Consider the following 19,634-nt stretch of genomic DNA (forward strand, 5'->3'; position numbering starts at 1 on the left):
TGGCCTGATTGTTTAAAGGTTAGTGAGGGGAAAGGAATCAAGATGGGCAAGCATGGGAAGTCTAAGATCTTTTCACTGCCAACTAAACATGCTGCTAGCCAAGATTTCACTAGATAGCCCAGAGTCCACAGTGACAACCTAAGCGATGTGTTTTTAAAAGGTTATAGAATTTCGTATTTCATGGAATGGGAGTGGGGCGAAAAGGTGGATTTCCATAGGGAGGTTTTATTAACCAAGCAGTAAAGCTGAAACTAATAAGAGCTCCATGACGTTATTATTGAAAATGGAGTTCAAGGCCAGCCTGGGCAACATGGCAAAACTCCATCTCTGCAAAAAATACAAAAATTAGCTGGGTGTGATGACGTGTGCCTACAGTCCCAGCTACTCGGAAGGCTGAGGTGGGAAAATTGCTTGAGCCTGGGAGGCTGAGGCTGCAGTGAGCTGACATGGTGCCACTGTACTCCAGCCTAGCTGACAGAGTGAGACACTGTCTTAAAAAAAAAAAGACAACCGAGCACCACATGTTCTCACTTATAAGTGGGAGCAGAACAATGAGAACACATAGACACAGGAAGAGGACCAGCATACACTGGGGCCTGCAGGGTGGTGGGGTCGGGGGAGGGAGAACATTAGGAAAAATAGCTAATGCATGTGGGGCTTAATACCTAGGTGATGAGTTGACAGGTGTGCAAAGTACTGTGGCACACTTTTACCTATGTACCTGTGTAACAAACCTGCACATCCTGCACGTGTCCTGGAACTTAAAATAAAAATAAAAATTGAAAAAAAGAAAGAAAATGAAGGAGGGAAGTCTATAGCAAATCTATAAACACACACGAACACTCAAATTGATCGTGATTAACAATATATTCAACTATCTGGTCCCAACTAATTTTCCAGTTTTATATACCTGTCTACACGTTCGACATGCTGTACCACTTCCTGTTTTTCACAGTGATCTGCTCCTGCTCTTTCCTCAGTGCTATTTATATAATTCTATAACTTGCTTTTATCACTGTGCATTCTGTTTTTGAGCTTATCTGTGTTGATACATATAGACCTAGCTCATCCTTATAACGATTTCATGTTACACTCTATAAATACATTATATTTTATTAGTGAACTTTCATGTTGCTTTAAAATTTGTTTTATCATCAGTACTTACCTTTTTATTTTATTTATCTGATGGATTAGAAGTGTTTCTGTATCACTATTTTAATTTGCATTCTTCAAATTACTAGTGAACTGAAACATTTAGAAATGTGTTTTTTGGCCACTTGTATTTCATTTTTTGAGAATTTCTAAAACATAACCCTGCCCCCACTCTTTTCTTGTTAGATTGTTTGAGTTTTTAAAATCGATTTGGATGTTCTAGATACTAATCCTTTGCTACATATCTTATAATATTTTCTTTCATTTATATTTTTTCTCAGTCATGTTCGAGATATGTTTTGTCCTGCAGAAATTTTAAATTGGAATTGGTGTATTTTTCATTATTTTCCCTTTGGCTTTTGCATTTGGATCTTAAGAAAGTGTTCCCCATAATCTCATAAAAATCTTCTATAGTTTTCTAGTTATTTTTAGTTTTGTTTTAAAGGTCCAGGTATTTATTCTATGTGCACTAATTCTTTTGTATAGTGTGAGGTAGCAATATAACTTTATTGCATGTTTTGAATGGAAATGAAAAATGTATTCAGTGGTCCAAAGAACGTTTGTTGACTTGCGCATCTTTTCCTTCATTGAAATGACTTATTCCTGTATAGACACTGGTCTGTATATGGTTTCTCTATTCAGTTCTTTCTTCTGTTTATATATTTCTGCACCAATATCATGGTTCCAGTTGAAGAAATCTAAATTATATCCTGATATCCAAAGAACAATCCCACCCCTTCTGTTTTTTTGGTTTTTATTTTTTTTTCTTTTGAGACAGAGTCTTACTCAGTAGCCCAGGCTGGAGTGCAGTGATGCGATCTCGGCTCACTGCAAGCTCCGCCTTCCGGGTTCACGCCACTCTCCCGCCTCAGCCTCCCGAGTAGCTGGGACTACAGGCACTCGCAACCACGCCCGGCTAATTTTTTTTGTATTTTTAGTAGAGACGGGGTTTCACCGTGTTAGCCAGGATGGTCTCAATCTCCTGACCTGGTGATCCACCCGCCTCGGCCTCCCAAAGTGCTGGGATTACAGGCATGAGCCACCGCACCCGGCCCTATTCTTTTTTAAGTTAGGTATGCCTATACATTTATTCTTCTTTATAAATTTTAGTATCAGTTTGTCAGATTCTGCTGAGATTTTGATTTGAATTTCAATATAGATTATATTATGTATATAGATTAATTTTAAGAGAACTCACATATTCCCATCCATGAACATTGTCATGTCACTCTGTTTATTCAAGTCTAGCTTTATGTTCTTCATTAAATAAGGTTTTATAATTTTTCATATAAATATCTTGTATGGTTTTGTTAGTTTTGTTCCTAAATATAATCGTTTATAGGTTTGCTACTATTGTGAATGAGCTACTTTTTTCTAACCAATTCTTAACGCTCCATCTTTATAGAATTATTGTTTGTGTTTGTGGGTATGTCTGTTTGTCTCCCTAGACAGCCTTCTTTTCTGTTCTCTTTACGGCACAGCTGACTCATTCATGTTGTAAACTTCCTTCTTTTCTTCTTCCCTTCTTACCACTGCCACCTTCAGGACCCTCACACCTGCCTGCCAACTTAGAACATTCCTTTACTACACTGAGTTCTATTAAATGTATGTTGATTTGAAGTGGCAAATAAATATTTGTGTCATGGATATTCAGAAAAAGGAAAGATTCAAGTGGCTGCATAAAAAGTGATCTTGAGTTTAATTTCTGAGATTCTTATTTCTCAGCTCCTCATATAAATCAATAGAGTTAATTATAGCATCAGCGAAGTATAGTAGTTTGACTCTCATTCAATGTGTACTACTGGCTAATTTATGGACCCTCTTGAAGCCTCGGTGTTTGCCTTTCAAGAATGAGAATAATAATGTCTCACAAGATTATTGTGAAGATTAAATGATATAAAATATCTATAGTTCTAGTACAGTTTGTGGCTCATGGTAAACACTCAATAAAAGAAAGTCGTTATTGTCGTTAGACCATATTAAAGATAAACACTCCATAGATTTATAAGGAGAAGAGCCAACTCTTCCCTTTCTTTTGTCAGAGCTTTTTCCCCCTGATACTGAATCCATTACTCATTGTCAGAGGCTTTGAAGGCAGAAGAACCAGGTTCCTTCTAGGGACTGTTTTTCAAATTGGTTGATGAAACCCTTAGAGGCCACTTTGAGGTGTTAAAGGCTGCCCAGAACAGTTCTGATTTTGTTCTGTTCTGAGGTTCCATGTAAGACTTTGAAGAAGGTTTTCAACTGCTAAGAATGGCTGGAAACCACTCTAGTGATCTGTCAGCTGGAGTCCTGGGACATTCACACCACTGGGCAAGAAGCATTTAGAAGCCCACTAATGAGCACAACCCATTTCCCTCATCCCTTCCTCCCCTACAGCTCCTGAAGCAAAAAAGAAATAATAATTCGTTATTTTCGGCCAGAAGGGATGATAATCCAGAGTTCCAAAATAAGTCCATGGTAGCAGAAGTAATATTTAGGAAGTACGTGCCAAGTGCCAGGCACCTAGCTGTGGTTTAAATACATGATTACAATTCACGTCAATTCTATGAGGAAGTTGTTGACAATCCCGTCTCTAAATTAGCATTGGGTGGTCTCACTTCTTCTAGGTACATGGATATGGGTTGAGTTGTATAGTCGCTGTGCCCTTCACCATAATCTTCTATCAACTCTGCCTTCTAAGAATTGGTTCCTAAAGCAATCTAAGGCTGGACATGGTGGCTCATGCCTGTTATCCCAGCACTTTGGGAGGCCGAGGCAGGTGGATGACTTGAGGTCAGGAGTTCAAGACCAGGCTGGCCAATATGGCAAAACCCTGTCTCTACTAAAAATACAAAAATCAGCCAGGCGTGGTGGCACATGCCTGTAATCCCAACTACTTGAGAGGCTGAGGCAGGAGAATCACTTGAAGCCAGGAGGCGGAGGTTGCAGTGAGGCAAGATTGCATCACCACACTCCAGCCTGGGTGACAGAGCGAGTCTGTCTAAAAAAAAAAAAAAAAAACAAAAAGTCCCTTAAGCAATCTGGTTCATTCACATCACCACGGATGCAATCAGCACAGACAACCACAGAGCTGAGGTGTTCTTAAATATGCATCTTGGTTTTATATATTTAGTGTAACCCAAAGTCCCTCCATTACACGTACTGTCTTTTTTTCCATCCAGTTTTTCTTCCAGTTTTTCCCTCTGAGGGGTTGATCCCACAGTGCTGCCTTCTTCCCTGTCCTAATTAGGCTTGTATATTCACTTCCATGTGATTTTCATGTGAGGAGTGGTTTCGTGTCCCCAGCTGCCTTTTAAGAACCTATGCAGACCTTCCTTCATAATGATGCTGGCTAGTTCTCTTCCAAATGTGTACCAAAAAAATTATTTCTGTGACCCCAAATGTTGCAAAGATCCAGACTTCTTCTTTCTATTGTATTTATAGACACTGATTGATGTTAAACTGATCTGGTTTTTCCACCATTTCTGTATTTATTTTCTGTTTTTGGTACAAGCAAAGTATATTGTTTCTACAATAGTATTTATATTTGAATGTATACATTTTATTCCTGATTTTTATCATGTTATCACTTTACTCCCCAAGATTAGCTGTCATTATTCCACTTTACAGGTAAGGAAACCAAGGCTCAGATGATAACTTGCTTAAAGCCACCAGCAGGCAAGAACAGAGCTAGGCTTCCAATCTTGGAGGGCATACAGACTCTAGACCACTAGCTTTCTCTAACCTTGAGGTCACAAACAGGCAGCCCTGAGGCTGAATGTGGGCTGCAGACAATTTTTTAGGTGTGCACCAAATTTTAAAATTGGGAGGTTACCAATTCAAAAGCAGACTTTTGCTTTTCTTGAAAATTTTGGAGATTTGGCAGCTTTGAGTCTACATTCCTACATGTGTGTAGTGTCTGTTGTTAGGCAAGGTAGGTGCTCCCCAGTTCACAGCAGCTTCCCTCCCTCCCTAGCCCGGCCCTCTCTCTCCTTTCCATCACCAACCTGGTCCTTATAAGGCGATGGAGTCCATACTCTACAGCACACCCTGTCCTCCCCTGTCTCAGTTATGGCCCTCTGCTGGCAGAACTGGGTTTGTGGGTTTGCTTTCCGTACCCTGTGGTACCATGGCAGCTGCTGCCGTGATTCTTAGGATCCTGTTACTTCTTTTACTTCTTTTTCAGTACAGCCTACGCCCTCAGACAAAGATGCCTGTGCAGTCAGATCCTCTCCCTTACGCTGCTCCCTGCGGGGTATGTCCAGTCCGTCAAGATTCTCCCTAAAGACACAGCCTGTAAGAAAGCAGAAGTCTTTGCCTCTGCCTGCCACATATCTTCCTTGAGGCAATGAAGTACAGAGCTGGCTATTTGCTTGATGGACAAAGGGGAAGAGGGGGAGAAATAATAAAATAATTGTAGTCATAGTAATGACAATATTGAACATATATTGAGAATTTGCTATGTGCCATTGTTCTGAACCCATATATGTTAATATATTGATGTTAATCCTCAAAACAATCTTATGATATGAATTGAAGAGTCGTTCTAATTTTATATGTGAGGAGATGGAGGCTACGTTTTCAAGGAGGCTGGAGAATCTGCTCCAAGTCACATGTATCAAGAGGCAGAGGTGGTATTTGAACCAGGCTAAGCAGGTCCTGAGGCTTCAGTCTTAACTACCACCTACTTTTTTAGAAACATAGATTAATATGCCGGAATATTCTCTAGCTACAATTGTTGGGCTTTTATAACCTAAAATCAACTCATACTAAATGAATCAAACAAACGACAACCAAAAAAATAAAAAAAAAAAAGACCAGGAGAATGGACCAAGAAATACAGATGATATAAACACAATACATTTAAAGATATTATTTTTTGTACTTTTTAATGTAGCTTAATTTTTTAATTGATACACAATCATATATTTATGGAGTACAGAATGATGTTTCAATACATATAGTGTATGGTGATCAGATCAGGGTGATTAGCATATCCATCATCTCAAACATTTATCATTTCTTTATGTTGGGAACATTCAATATCCTCCATCCTCCTTTTAGCTATTTGAAACTATATATTTATTGTTAAGTATAGTCATCCTACAGTGGCATAGAACACTAGAACTTATTTATTCAATCTAGCTATAATTTTGTAAAGGTACTGTTTAATTCTAGCAGGAGAATAAAGTGAATGGGAGAGAGGCGAACACCTGTAAGGTCCATAGTATTCCAGATTATGAAATGACACAGATATCTCAGGAGAAGATGAGAGCTTTTCACATAATCATTCCAAGAAGTTTCATTTAACAACAGATATTTATTGAGATGCTATCATGTTCTAGGCTATTGTACTTTGTCCTGGAAACACAAAGATGAATGAATAATGTACCCTTACGGTAAAATACGTGTACATATAATCATGCATAATAGAGTATAAATACATACAATGATTAGCATATGGTCTCTCATTTTTTTAAACTTTAATTTCAAATAGACAACACATTTAGGTAGCTGAATATTTTAAGGATATAAAATTACATACACTGGAAACTCTCTCTTATTCTTGTCTCCAGGTACCTTCCCAGAAAGCAGACACCTTATCCTTCCAGAGATATTTTATACAAGGAAGGATGTGTATAGATTCTTGCTCTCACATTTTTGTTTTTTTCACTTAACACATTTGGATATTATTCGCCATACTTTTTTGGTCATGCATACTACCAGTAAGTTATTTGAGCCCTTAGTATACATTAGAAAGTGAATTATAAAACATAGAGAATATTTAAGAAGGAGAAATGAAGGTGAAATAACCAATAATTTTAGCAATTTATATTCTATTTTAGTATAAAAATGATTTTATCTCACTAACATTTTAAGCACAATGTGATTTAAAATGAAACTACTTTGAAGAAACTTGGTTAAAACTTTATGAAATAGGATTCAAAGATTTGATTAAAAACTTTATGAGACAGGATTCAAAGGTTTGATTAAAACTAAACTGATTGGATAGTGATACTTGATTTTATTTGTTGTTTTGTCACAAAAAATAAAATGTATCACAAAATATGTAGCTCCTATGTAGGCGACAGGTGACTGATACAGTGGGCGCCACAATGTCAGTCTTTATGCCAAAGACTGGTGAAGCTTAATTTATTCTGCTTGTTAAATTTAAAAAGTCAATTTGAACAGAAGATATAATATTTCTTTTTGCACCCCAATTTATCATCTCGAGCCATCCTCCTGGATGTGTGCACCCTACTTAAGGAATCCCGGGCTAGGGAATCAAACATGTCTGATACCAAACTCTCAGCAATCTTGTGGGGAATGACTGAAGGAATGGTTTCTTTAACACAAATTCAAACTCCTGTCGAAAGCAGCAGTTCATGGTGGTGCTTTTGTTTTCTAAGGTGTGAAGTATGCTGTTTATAAAAGTACTGATGCTTGGTGCTAGCAGACACAAAGCATTTTTACCACGATCATAGTGGAGTGGTCATGATGGGAAGGGACTTTAAAGCCCCCATGACCTCCTAAATGCCACTCTTACTCAGTTGCATTCCTTCTGGCTTCTTGAGTAAGACAGAAAGGACTCCAGGAATTGTGCTTAGGAAGGTTGTGGCCCTGGAGCAAACACAGCCCTTGTGAACTCCATTTGTCATGCATGCATTGTGGGATGAGAGAGTGAGGCCTGCTGAAGCATGTAGAATGACTATCTGTTCATTTTTTTTTTCTTTTTCTATTTGTGATTTCCTCTAGGATCTGTAATTTAGCCTCAGCATTGCCATTTAAGGAGTCTAAAATAGAGTAAGTTCTGAGTTTGAGTGAGTGAGAGTGGATATATGAAAAATTCTCAACTAGATAAATATGGTTTTTTAAAAAACGTTAGAGATAAAAGAAAATTAACCCTCAGAGGGCTATCATCCTACTTGCATAGTGAATTGATTTGACAAACTCATAATTTGATTTGCTGTGCCTAAGGGAGACAAATTTGATTTCCTCCTAAGGGAGAGTGATTTAATTTTAATTATGCAATATGTTTTCTAAGCATTAGCACTTTCATGAAAATATTAAAAGAAAATGTTGATGCTTTCTCCTGGAACTAATGACTTAGCTTGTTTATAATTATTTAATAATTAGGTTTTGAAATTGATAATATGTTAGTAGAAGATGATTATTCATTTATTTTTATTGCAATTTGCTGTGATGCTACAAAAGACCATTAAAGTTAAAAGGCTGATGAGATATTTATAATTGCCTTATGCCAAGTGGAGAGTCAATATCCAAACTTTGTGTAAAGATAAAATTAGAGTCATCTTTGATTTTGCCATGTATATCAAGGCATGGTTGCTGCATAACGAATCAACCCAAAAACTTACTGGCTTAAAACAACAATATTTATAATTTCACGTGCTTTATATGGGTCAGGAAATCAAGAACTGCTCAGCTGATTGGTTTCAACTCAGCATCGCTTTTGAGGTTGCATTTAAATGGTGATTGGGGTTGCAGTAATCTCAAAGTCTTCTCAATCTGTATACCTCATGCTTGGTTTGGGAAGACTCCAACTGTTGAGTGCTGGAACAGCTGAGGCTCCTCAGGCATCTCTTCTCATCTCTCTGCATGGAAGTCTCAGGGTAGCTGGACTCCATAGCAGCTCAGGGCTCTAAAGGCATTAACTTGAGAGAGCCAGAAGGAAGCCCTATCACCTTTTGTAACCTAGCTTCAGGAGTCATACAGTGTCGCTTCTATCACTTTCTATTTGTTAAGAATGAGCCACTGAGACTGGCCTATATTCAAGGGGAAGGGAATTAGAATCCACTTTTTTTTTAAATAGGAAGAGTGTAAAAAAACACTTGTTGACATGTTTTAAACCCCCACACCATAAAGCTCAATAAATAATAAATACCTGCCCATTTTTCACTTTGCTGATATGTGTCCCTTCCCTTCATTTTGTTTCTTGCTCATCTTTTCATGCCAGGTGTTCAGTCCCATCTATTTGAACTTTTAGAGTCTTCTCTTAACTACCTTCCCTGTCCTCATTCTTTCCACATCTAGTCTGTCTGTGTCCTGTGGCCAGACTAATCTTTCTGAAAGACCACTGCCATTAGTTCACCCCTTTGATTGAAAACCTTTCATGACAATTATTGTCCACAAATATGTTTCTCCTTCTATGGTTTGATTCAGAATCAAGTACATGTCTTGTTAAAAAATGTGTATTGTCCAGTCTCCCTGAGAGAATTACTGAATTAGAATTTCTGGTGAGCGGAACCCAAGAATCTGCAAGTTTACAAATCAGCAACTTTTAGTAACGTTTATTCTTAAACACATTAGCATGCAAACTTTAGTCTATAATGGCACACAGCAAAGATTCTCAGCCATAGCATGTTGTCATAGTTATGAAACAAGTGGTCTGTTGCGAATAATAGTGAAGCACTGAAATTGGAGCACATCCATCATTATCCCAATTGTATTAGTTCATTCTCACACTGCTATAAAGAAATACCTGAGACTGGGTAATTTATATAGAAAAGAAGTTTAAGTGGCTCACAGTTCCACAGGCTGTACAGGAAGCATGGCAGCATCTGCTTGGTGTCAATCATGGCGGAATCTTAAAGGGGTAGATGGCACTTCACATGGCTGGAGCAGGAGGAAGAAAGAGAGGCGGGGAGATGCTACACACTTGTAAACAACTAGATCTTGTGAGAACTTACTCATTATACAGGAGCAAGGGAGGATGCTGCTAAACCATTCATGAGAACTTTGCCCCCATGATCTAATCACCTCTCACCAGGCCCCTTCTCCAACATTGGAGATTAAAATTTGACATGAGATTTGGGTGGGGACATGATTCAAATCATAACATCAGTAATGTCACCTTCACTAGTCTTCACACTTTCTGACTGGAAGAGAAATTCCTTAGACTATGAGGAATTTCAAGTAAGATGTGTTCCCAGTATTAATGTCATTAGGTGCATGAGTCTCCATGGAATCACTACCCTAAACAATCTGATTTGAACAATCCGATTTGAGCAGGACCCGGCTTGTTTTACCAGTGTGCCTTCAATACACTTTGTTCTTGCTCCCTCACTGCTTGTCTCTCTTCAGTGGGTCTTTTTTTTTTTCTGCTTGTCCAGTCTCCCCTTCTCTTGGACATCTTCCTTTAGGACCCTAAGAGTTGGAGATTTCTGTCTACTCTCCACTTCTTCAGCAAATTATGTTACAATTTACAATATTTATATGATCCTTATCGTATAATGCTTTATATTGCTAATTATTAGTTCATCATATTGCTGTGTCAGGTTCCAGCAGGAAAGCAATGGCATACTCAAATAGGCTGAACAGAAGAGTGTTTAATAAAGGTGTGCATAGGACATGAGGAAAAAATGGAAAGGTATGTGTGGGACAAACAACAAAAGATAGTTCAATACTACAGGGCTGCTGGAAGTGGGTTCTGTTTCCATCCCAAGGCCTATAGGTTCAAGGAGGAGGAGTAGTTACTTCAACCTAGAAAAAGACAGATGTATGAAGAAAGGTTCCTTATAGGGGCCTTGACCTTTAGTAGAGAGAGGTAGCCAGCTCATGATGATTCCACAGGATGAGAGCCAAGGGAATAAATTTCAAGACTTTCCTTTCCTCCCTTCCTCTGATCTCCTACTGATGCTTACCGTTGGTCAAAAACAGCTGCAAGCCAGAGATCAAGAGAACTGATTTATACATTTCAGAAGAGTCATCAGGGCACAGAATTGGGGAGAGAATGGTAGAGTAGAGCTAGAGGGGCAAAGGGAAAATGGATAACACAATCAGATTTATTAAGGGCTGAAACTCTTTTATCTACTTTTTGTATTTCTCATGGCTCTGCAAGGCACTGCCCACAGCAGTTGTTCAATGACTGTGTCTTCATTCTTTTATGCCAGCACACACTGGTTTGATTCCTCCAGAATGCCTCATAAGGATGAGTGACAAAAGGCTGCCCAGTGGTAACATTTTGTATTTTCTGCACCAAGATTCACTCAAACATAAACTATTGTATTTCCTTAATTTCCAGGCCCAATTTCCTTAATGTCTTTAATAGAAAAGACCAGTTTCTTGAGAAAATGCAGAGACAGTTATAATTTGGATATCTTAAGTAATTGCCAAAAATATAAATTCAAATTAAACTGGCTGTCATATATGTTGGAAGTCCAAGATACTATTCTCAGATCCTACTGATTTAGTCTCACTGACTATAAGCACATTGCATTCTGTGAAGAATGATTATGTGTACAAGTGTGCCCCACGTTATGAGAAAAATGTTAGAGATGCTGAATTTCTAAAATGAATAAACAGGGTAATTGTTTATTCTACAGAAGGTGTATTAGTCCATTCTCATGCTACTATGCAGAAATACCCAAGACTGGTAATTTACAAAGAAAAGAGGTTTAATTGACTCACAGTTTTGCATGGTTGGGGAAGCCTCAGGAAACTTAAAATCATGGCAGAAGACAAAGGGAAAGAAAGGCACCTTTTTCACAGGGCGGCAGGAAGAAGTGCTGAGCAAAGTGGGGAAAGCCCCTTAGAAAACCATCGGGTCTCATGAGAACTCAGTATCATGAGAACAGCATGGGGGTAAATGCCCCCATGATTCAATTACCTTGCATCTGGTCCCTACCTTGACACGTGGAGATTTTGGGAACTACAATTCAAGATGAGATTTGGGTGGGGACTCAGCCAAACCGTATTGGAAGGATTTCTACCATAACGGAAAGATTAAAATGGGATTTTCATTATGTGGGTAGAAATAAGCATACTTCATTTTTACAAGAGACACTTTTTAAACAATTAAAACGCAGATTGAAAGTAAAGGATTAAAAAGGTATAACCAAGCCAGGTGCGGTGGCTCATGCCTGTAATCTCACCACTTTGGGAGGCTGAGGCAGGTGGGTCACCTGAGGTCAGGAGTTTGGGACCAGCCTGGTCAATATGGTGAAACCCCATCTCTACTAAAAATACAAAAATTAGCCAGGTATGGTGGTGCATGCCTGTAATACCAGCTACTCAGGAAGCTGAGACAGGAGAATTGCTTGAATCCGAGAAGCAGAGATTGCAGTGAGCTGAGATCACGCCATTGCACTCCAGCCTGGGTGTTGACAAGCAAGACTCTGTCTAAAAAAAAGGTATACCATGAAAACACTACACATAAGAAAGCTGGAGTGATGTTACTGACATTAAAGTAGACTTCAGACAGAGTATCACCAGAGACAGAGGAATACTCCATAGTGGTGAATGCATCAATTCATCAGAAAGACATACAATTTATAAATGTGTATATACCTAATAAAAAGTTTCAATATCCATGACTCAAAAATTGATAGAAATAAAGGAAGAAATAGACAAATGCAAACTCATAATTGGAAATGTTAACAATCTTCTCTCAGTATTTAATATTAACAACTAGGCAAAATACCAGTACAGACATAGAAAATCTAAAGAACAATAGACATGTCTAGAACACTGTATCAAACAACTGAATAATGCACAGTGATTTTGAGTGTGTATGGTACATTCACCAAGATAAACCATTTACTAAGCCATTAATACAAGTCTCGGCCGGGCGTGGTGGCTCACTCCTATAATCCCAGCATTTTGGGAGGCTGAGGTGGGCGGATCACCTGAGGTCAGGAGTTTGACAGCAGTCTGGCCAACACGGTGAAACCCCATCTCTACTAAAAATACAAAACAGCCAGGTGCGGTGGTGCCGCCTGTAGTCCCAGCTACTCAGGAAGCTAAGGCAAGAGAATCACTTGAACCCGAGAGGCGTAGGTTGCAGTGAGCTGAGGTCTCGCCACTGCACTGCAGCATGGGCAATAGATAGAGCGAGACTCCGTCTCAAAAAAAAAAAAAGTCTCAGTACATTTTAAAAGCTTGATGTTCTTTTTGATCATAGTAGCAGAAAAAGCATTTGACAACATTGAACATAAGTTCATTAAAAAACCAGCAAATTGGGATTGGAAGGGAATTCTCCTCTAATAGGGAGCATCTACAAAAACCTATATAGCTAACGTCATACTTAATGGTAAAATGTTGAGTGCTGCCCCCTAATATTGGGAATTGTGAGGGTGTCGGCTTTTACCATTTCTATTTAACGTTGTTAAATAGAAGTAGTAAAAATTCTAAATAGTGGTCTGAGAAGTTCTAAATAGTGCTCTGAGACAAGAAAAAGAAACAAAAGGCATAATACAGGAAAGGAAGGACTAATATTGTCTATATTGTTGAAATACATGATTGTTTACAAAGAAAATCCTAAGGAATCTACAAAATGTGTACCAAAACTATTAGTTAAATTTAGCAAGGTCATGGAATACAAGGTCAATTTACTAATCAATTGTATTTCTATATATTAGCAGCAAATTTTTATGTACTATGAAAACAGGGTGAGCCGTGTCTAGCTTATTATTTAACTTTCCATGATGATTATTTCCTAAAATATTGACTGAGAAGAATAATATCTTTATTTTTAAAATAGCATTGTTTGAATACATAGTCATGGGTATTTGTCCAAATACGTGGATGGGATAGAGGGTGATATGCTTGTGTTTGCATCAGAAGAATGAATAGTGACTAATTTACTAATGTGGTGAGTAGCCCTTGATTATAGGATTTAATCTGTTTGTAGTCCTTGGTTCTTTTTTTCTTCTTTTTTTTTCTGTGAGTCATGGCCTAAAGAAATTCTTTCTCTTCATTCTTTAACTAATGGTCTCCATGAGTACATTGATTCATAGAAGAGTAACTCAAGCACAAATTTTACCGGCTACTTTATCTGGCTTCAGGTGACTGGTGGTTCCTCCCTCTGGGGGTTGCTGAGTCATTGCAGAGGAAAGCAAACCTAGGCAAACAGAAGCATTTTCTCAATCAACTGATGCCAAAAGTACAGCTTTACCATGTGGAGATTCTTGGGATTTTAAAAAAAGCAAAAACAAAGACAAAAAAACTTTAAAAACGGTCTTTGAACTAAAAAAGATTGGTAGCTACTGATCTCATTTTGTAAATGAGAAAATTGAGTCCCAGAGAGATTAAATGACTGGCTGGAATTCACACATCTAGTTAACGTGAGAGCTAAATTACGCACCTTACTGTCTTTTCTCCAGTGCTCTCTCCACCCAACTATACTATCTCCCTAAGCAATAAAAAAGGTCGATCTAGTCTCAAAGGACTGCTGTTTAGATTCAGAAGATCCTGTCTGAAGTTAGATCCCAAAATGCTCTGAGCAGTGGACAACATATTAAAGTGAATTTTTAATTTTCCAAATGCCCTATTTTGTAAGAGAGAATGCATTTAGTTTCACAGAGAATGCATTTAGTTTCACAAGTTCTGCGCTGTTTATTTCAAAATCTTTGTTTTTCTTTTCTTTTTTTTTTTCTTTTGAGACAGAATTTCGCTCTGTCACCCAGGCTGGAGTCCAGTGGCACAATCTCGGCTCATTGCCACCTCCACCTCCCAGGTTCAAGCAGTTCTCCTGCCTCAGCCTCCTCAAGTAGCTGCGACTACAGGCATGCACCACCACGCCCGGCTAATTTTTTTTGTATTTTTAGTAGAGACAGAGTTTCGCCATGTTGGCCGGACTGGTCTCAAATGCCTGACCTCAGGGGATCTGCCTACCTTGGCCTCCCAAAGTGCTGGGATTATAGGTGTGAACCAACGCACCCAGCCTGTTTTTCTTTATAGTCATCTCCTTATAACTGTTTCCCATGCATGTAAAAGAGTTTTTAAATAGCATGTTGTCTGCTTCTTTTCTGCTGAGTAAATAAATTTGCATTTAAGAAAACAATTTTGAATTTATATAGGAGAAACATCTCCTTAAAAGTACCATAAACATTAGAGCAAATTATTAGAGCCAATCATTGATTCTTCTTGTCTGAAAAGTTTTAGGAATTCTTTAATATTATTTTTGTACATATAAACACTCAATATTTACTGAATGAATGATCGAAATGAACGAGCAAATGAATAATTAGAATGAATAATGGTTTAAAATCCCTAGCAGGCCTTTCCATATCTGAACTTCTTTGCTTTCTATTATAATTTAATAATAAGCCTTTTGGAAATTAACTCAAATATATTCCACTTGAACTACCAAATATTCTAATAAATATCATTCTTTAGTCAGTGTGTGTTTATGTATGTGTATGTGTGTGCATACATACACGTGTGTGTAGATAGATATAACACACACACAGAGAAAGAAATAGAGGAGAGAAATATTTGGAAAGGGTTTCCAGTTCAGATTAGTTTCTGTCCAAATCACTCATACATTTCCAAAAATAAGGAAACAATAAAGCACCAAATCAATAATCTAAAAATATCCTGTGAGAATGATTACATTTCAGTGCTCTGGCTCCCTGCTGGAGCAGAAGACCAGGGTGAAAGCAGCTGCTGCTGCTGCTGCAGCCAACAGAGACTCAAAAGTCTGGGTTCAACTCAAGGCACCAGCACAATTTGAAAAGACCCGTTCTTATAATAGCTATTGCCTTGTAGAGCCTTGGCAATCTACCCATTTACTAATGAGAAAGTAGGGTGAAGATTAGCCTGCTGAAAATGCCGAACATTAAGAAATGGCATGAACAATGTTAGGAAATAACTTCTCTGATTTTAATGAAAATGTCTCTTCTGTCCACCACTGCTTTAAAAATTCAATTAATTAAGTGTGGAACATATTAAAAAAAAGTTCACCATTTGCGTGTGTGTGTGTGTGTGTGTGTGTGTGTGTGTGTGTCTTACTCATGGCTATAGAATAAGACTAAAACTAATTTTCGTGTATGCCTATAGAGCCACCTCATTTATGTGTATAAACCAATGGTGGCAAAAAGATTTCATCTTGTGTACCACATTCAAATTGCAACGACTGCCTAACCCAGTATGCTGAGAAGGATTCTGAAGCTGTATCTAAAGTGCAGTGATAATTAGTAATGATGATTCTCTGCTCATCCCAGATATAAACCCACCTGAATGGGGCCACACCCCCCAGGATGTAGACCGCAGAGTTAAACCATTTGAATTCTCATCTCAGATGTTCTAGAAACTCTGAATCTACCAAGACATTTATTAGATCTTTATAGGGAAAAAAAAAAAACCTCTACCCTCCTCCTGGAAGTAGGGTTGTAGTTAAAGGGGCATGAGGCGAGATGGGGAAATTGTTGAACAGAGACTGTTCCTGATTGTCTGAAGGAGACTTGATTTCATGTATTCTGCAGATCGTTTCATTGGGTAGTCTCTCGGCTTAGCTTCCTCTTCTGGATGTGATGGTGGCTACCAGGCCATCAGCCTCTAACTTGAAGCTTGAATTCATCATTCTCTATTACATCAGAGCAATTTAGAGCTGGATGTCAGATTACGAGCTACTTTTTTTTTTGAGACGGAGGCTTGTTCTGTCATCCAGGCTGGAGTGCAGTGGTGCAATCTCGGCTCACTACACTGCAACCTCTGCTTCCTGGGTTCAAGCAATTCTCCTGCCTCAACCTCCTGAGTAGCTGGGATTACAGGCACATGCCACCATGCCTGGCTAATTTTTGTAGGTTTTTTGTTTTTTTTTTTTTTTGTATTTTGTATTTTTTGACGGGGTTTCACCACGTTGGTCAGGCTGGTCTCAAGCTCCTGACCTGGTGATCCGCCCACCTCGGCCTCCCAAAGTGTTGGGATTACAGGCATAAGCCAATGCACCTGACCACCACTTTTTAAATACAAAATGCAACTATTATATTTCTGGTAGTAGTAGAATAAAATCTCACTAATGACTGATAGAAAGGTAATTTGATTATATCATCAGGGTTTCTCACAGACCCATTTTTGCCTGCCAGGACACAACCTTGGATGTAACTCCTTATTTTCTTCCTCTCCCTACACACTTTTACGGGAAAAGCAGAGTCCTAAAAAGTTGCTGGGGAAAGACAACATGCCATATGATCATGTGCTGCTCACGTCGACCACAAGTTTCCAGACCTCAAGGCCCTCTTCTCTACCTCTGTTACACCCTGTGCTGGTCTCCATTTTGGGACTATATTCCAATATAGTGAAACTTCCATACAATTCCACTGTATTGAAATAATATTTTATGTGTCTGCTTCTACAATGGATTGGGAGAACCTTGTGGGGAGGGACTATATCTTGCCCATTTTGCATCTCTTTCATCTAGTGTGGTATTTGGCTCATAGCAAATGCTTAGTAAATGTTTGTTGAACTGAAGTGGACACCTATCAGTGCATTTCCAGGTGGTTTTAGAACCATACTTGTCAGAAAATGTTTAAAAAGAAAAAGAAATGAATGAAGAATAGTGAGCTAGTTTAACCTGTTAAAGGTACATATTAAACAATTAATAAATGTTTATGGATTGGAGTGGAAAAATGAGTGATTCTTCCTTAATGTTTCTTATATGTAGGATGTGCAAGAAAAATTTGAGAACAAGATGCACTAAAGATATATTATCAAATTATGGCTGGACTTTAGGTGTTACTTAATGCCTCAAATATTGGCTGATGATATGTTTAAATTATTTTTTCATTACCAATATGAAAGAGGAGAGTTATTCTGAGATAACTCTCTGAGATAAGCGGAGAGATCTGGTTAAGACCTAATGAATAGAGTGCAATACCATCACTCCTCCATCCATTAATAACTTAATAGCCTTATGAATTTCTTTGGAGACAGTCTTTGTGTTTGAGTGGTAAGAAATAAATGTGGATAAGTGTGAAATAGGACTATATTAAGCATGAATCTTCTTTTGAAGTGTTAGCTTCTTTCAGCTACGTAAATCAAAGTAACTTATTCCTAAAAAAAAGATACCAGTTTGCCTTTGGAATAACACCAAAGTTTTTTTTTTTTAAAGTACTTTCATGTAAGTTTCAAATGGAAATCTTTAATAATGACATTTTGTGTCAAGTTTTTAGTCTATTTTCCATTCAGTAGGTTTGTGCATGAAGTATTAATGGTGCTATCACATAATTTCTCACTCTTTTGTATTCTCCCATTATCAGTTCACATTTAATATACTCTGGAGTTTTATTTTCCTCCAAGAAATGCTTTTAAAAGATTTGAAAATGTGCTTCTTCCTTTAAGAATGTCTAAATCACTTTTCTAATACTTCCTTTGAATAGATGCAATATGTGTGAAAGTATAAAATCCAGTTGTCCAAAGTAGGTAGATCAAGGAGAAATAACACTGTTATTTCTTTTTTAAATGAATACAATGAAACTAAAGATACATATTTTTAGTTAGCTCCAAATTTTTTTTGAAGATTAATTGCTATGCAGATTAAATAGGAATTTGGACCACATGATCTTTAAGGATTCTTCTCAATCTTTGCTTCCATGAATTCATGAACATAGTAGTCAATATACGTCAGGATTGTGTTCACATACCAATAACAGAATCTCATGGGCAATCATTCCTATAGTCAATATCATGAATTTAAATGTTAAATGTTTGTAAGAAGGCAGGTAGAGAGAGCTGGCTTAGAAGTTTGCTAAATGGGGCAGGGTGCAATGCCTCATGTCTGTAATCCCAGCACTTTGAAAGGCCAAGGTGGCAGGATTGTTTGAGGCCAGGAGTTCAAGACCAGCCTGGGCAAACCAGGAAGACCCTATCTCTACAAATACATAAGTAAATAAATAAACTGGGCATGGTGGCATGCACCAGTAGTCCCAGCTATTCAAGAGCTGAGGTGGGAGAATCACCTGAGCCAAAGAGTTTGAGACTGCAGTGAGCTATGATTGTGCCACTGCATTCCAGCCTGGGCAACAGAGCAAGATCCTGTCTCAAAAAAAAAAAAAAAAAACACATACACACAAAGAAGTTTGCTAAATGGTGACATTAACAACATGCTGAAGAAAATCTCTGCAGTGATTTTTCCTGGCTGAGTCTGGCAACATCGGCCAACATTATCGTCCAGTCATTTGACTGCTTCTTAATAGACACTGTTTGCAGTTTATTCAATCATGCATTACATGCACTAGTAATGAGGAATCCATAAACTGATCACCATGAACCAGGCAGGCATAGCTCACCCCACAGGTGTAGAAACAGCTGATGTATTTTTTAACTTTACTCATTTGCCTTCGTTTCTCCCTCCCCTCCAATTTCAGAAAGTTATTTTGTCTAATCTCAGTGCTGTTTGCCTAGTGTTAGCACTTATGGTCATAAAGATCATGTTTTACATTATATGTTATTTGCCCTCTATTCATAAAGGGCACATAATTATAGACAGTTCAGGCTCATTAGCTCTTCCAGATGATCTGTTTGCCTCTAGTCTCTCCCCATCCAGTCTGCTGCCTGCACTGCCATTAGCACTCTAAAGGACAAAATAAAATATATTACTCCCATGTATATGAAACAAAACCCCAGCTGCTTAGCATGGAAGACAATGCCAGCCCATCTAGTCTCAGTCTACCTTTCCAGAACTTCACTTCTAGCTCATAATAGGATCCTAGTAAATACTAGCTGAATAAATGTATAAATAAATGAAATAGATGCCTGAA

General features: G+C 38.1%; 1 protein-coding gene across 8 annotated transcripts in view, besides 2 other annotated features; it reads left to right on the plus strand.

Moving 5' to 3' along the window:
• Positions 1-19,634, plus strand: part of AK5 (adenylate kinase 5) — a 277,948-nt gene that overhangs the window by 26,456 nt on the left and 231,858 nt on the right. The gene's annotated exons all lie outside the window — the stretch shown is intronic.
• Positions 3,476-3,977: an enhancer, noted in NCBI's record as "H3K27ac hESC enhancer chr1:77777635-77778136 (GRCh37/hg19 assembly coordinates)". NCBI's record gives its function as "activates a minimal SCP1, AML or CMV promoter by ChIP-STARR-seq in primed H9 embryonic stem cells {active_cell/tissue: H9 hESC(primed)}" and the evidence as "EXISTENCE:reporter gene assay evidence [ECO:0000049][PMID:30033119]".
• Positions 13,770-14,064: an enhancer, noted in NCBI's record as "tiled region #3902; HepG2 Activating DNase matched - State 24:Quies". NCBI's record gives its function as "activates a minimal TATA promoter and a strong SV40 promoter by Sharpr-MPRA in HepG2 cells {active_cell/tissue: HepG2}" and the evidence as "EXISTENCE:reporter gene assay evidence [ECO:0000049][PMID:27701403]".

The sequence above is a fragment of the Homo sapiens genome, chromosome 1, assembly GCF_000001405.40.
Source record: "Homo sapiens chromosome 1, GRCh38.p14 Primary Assembly".
Lineage (NCBI taxonomy): Eukaryota > Metazoa > Chordata > Mammalia > Primates > Hominidae > Homo > Homo sapiens.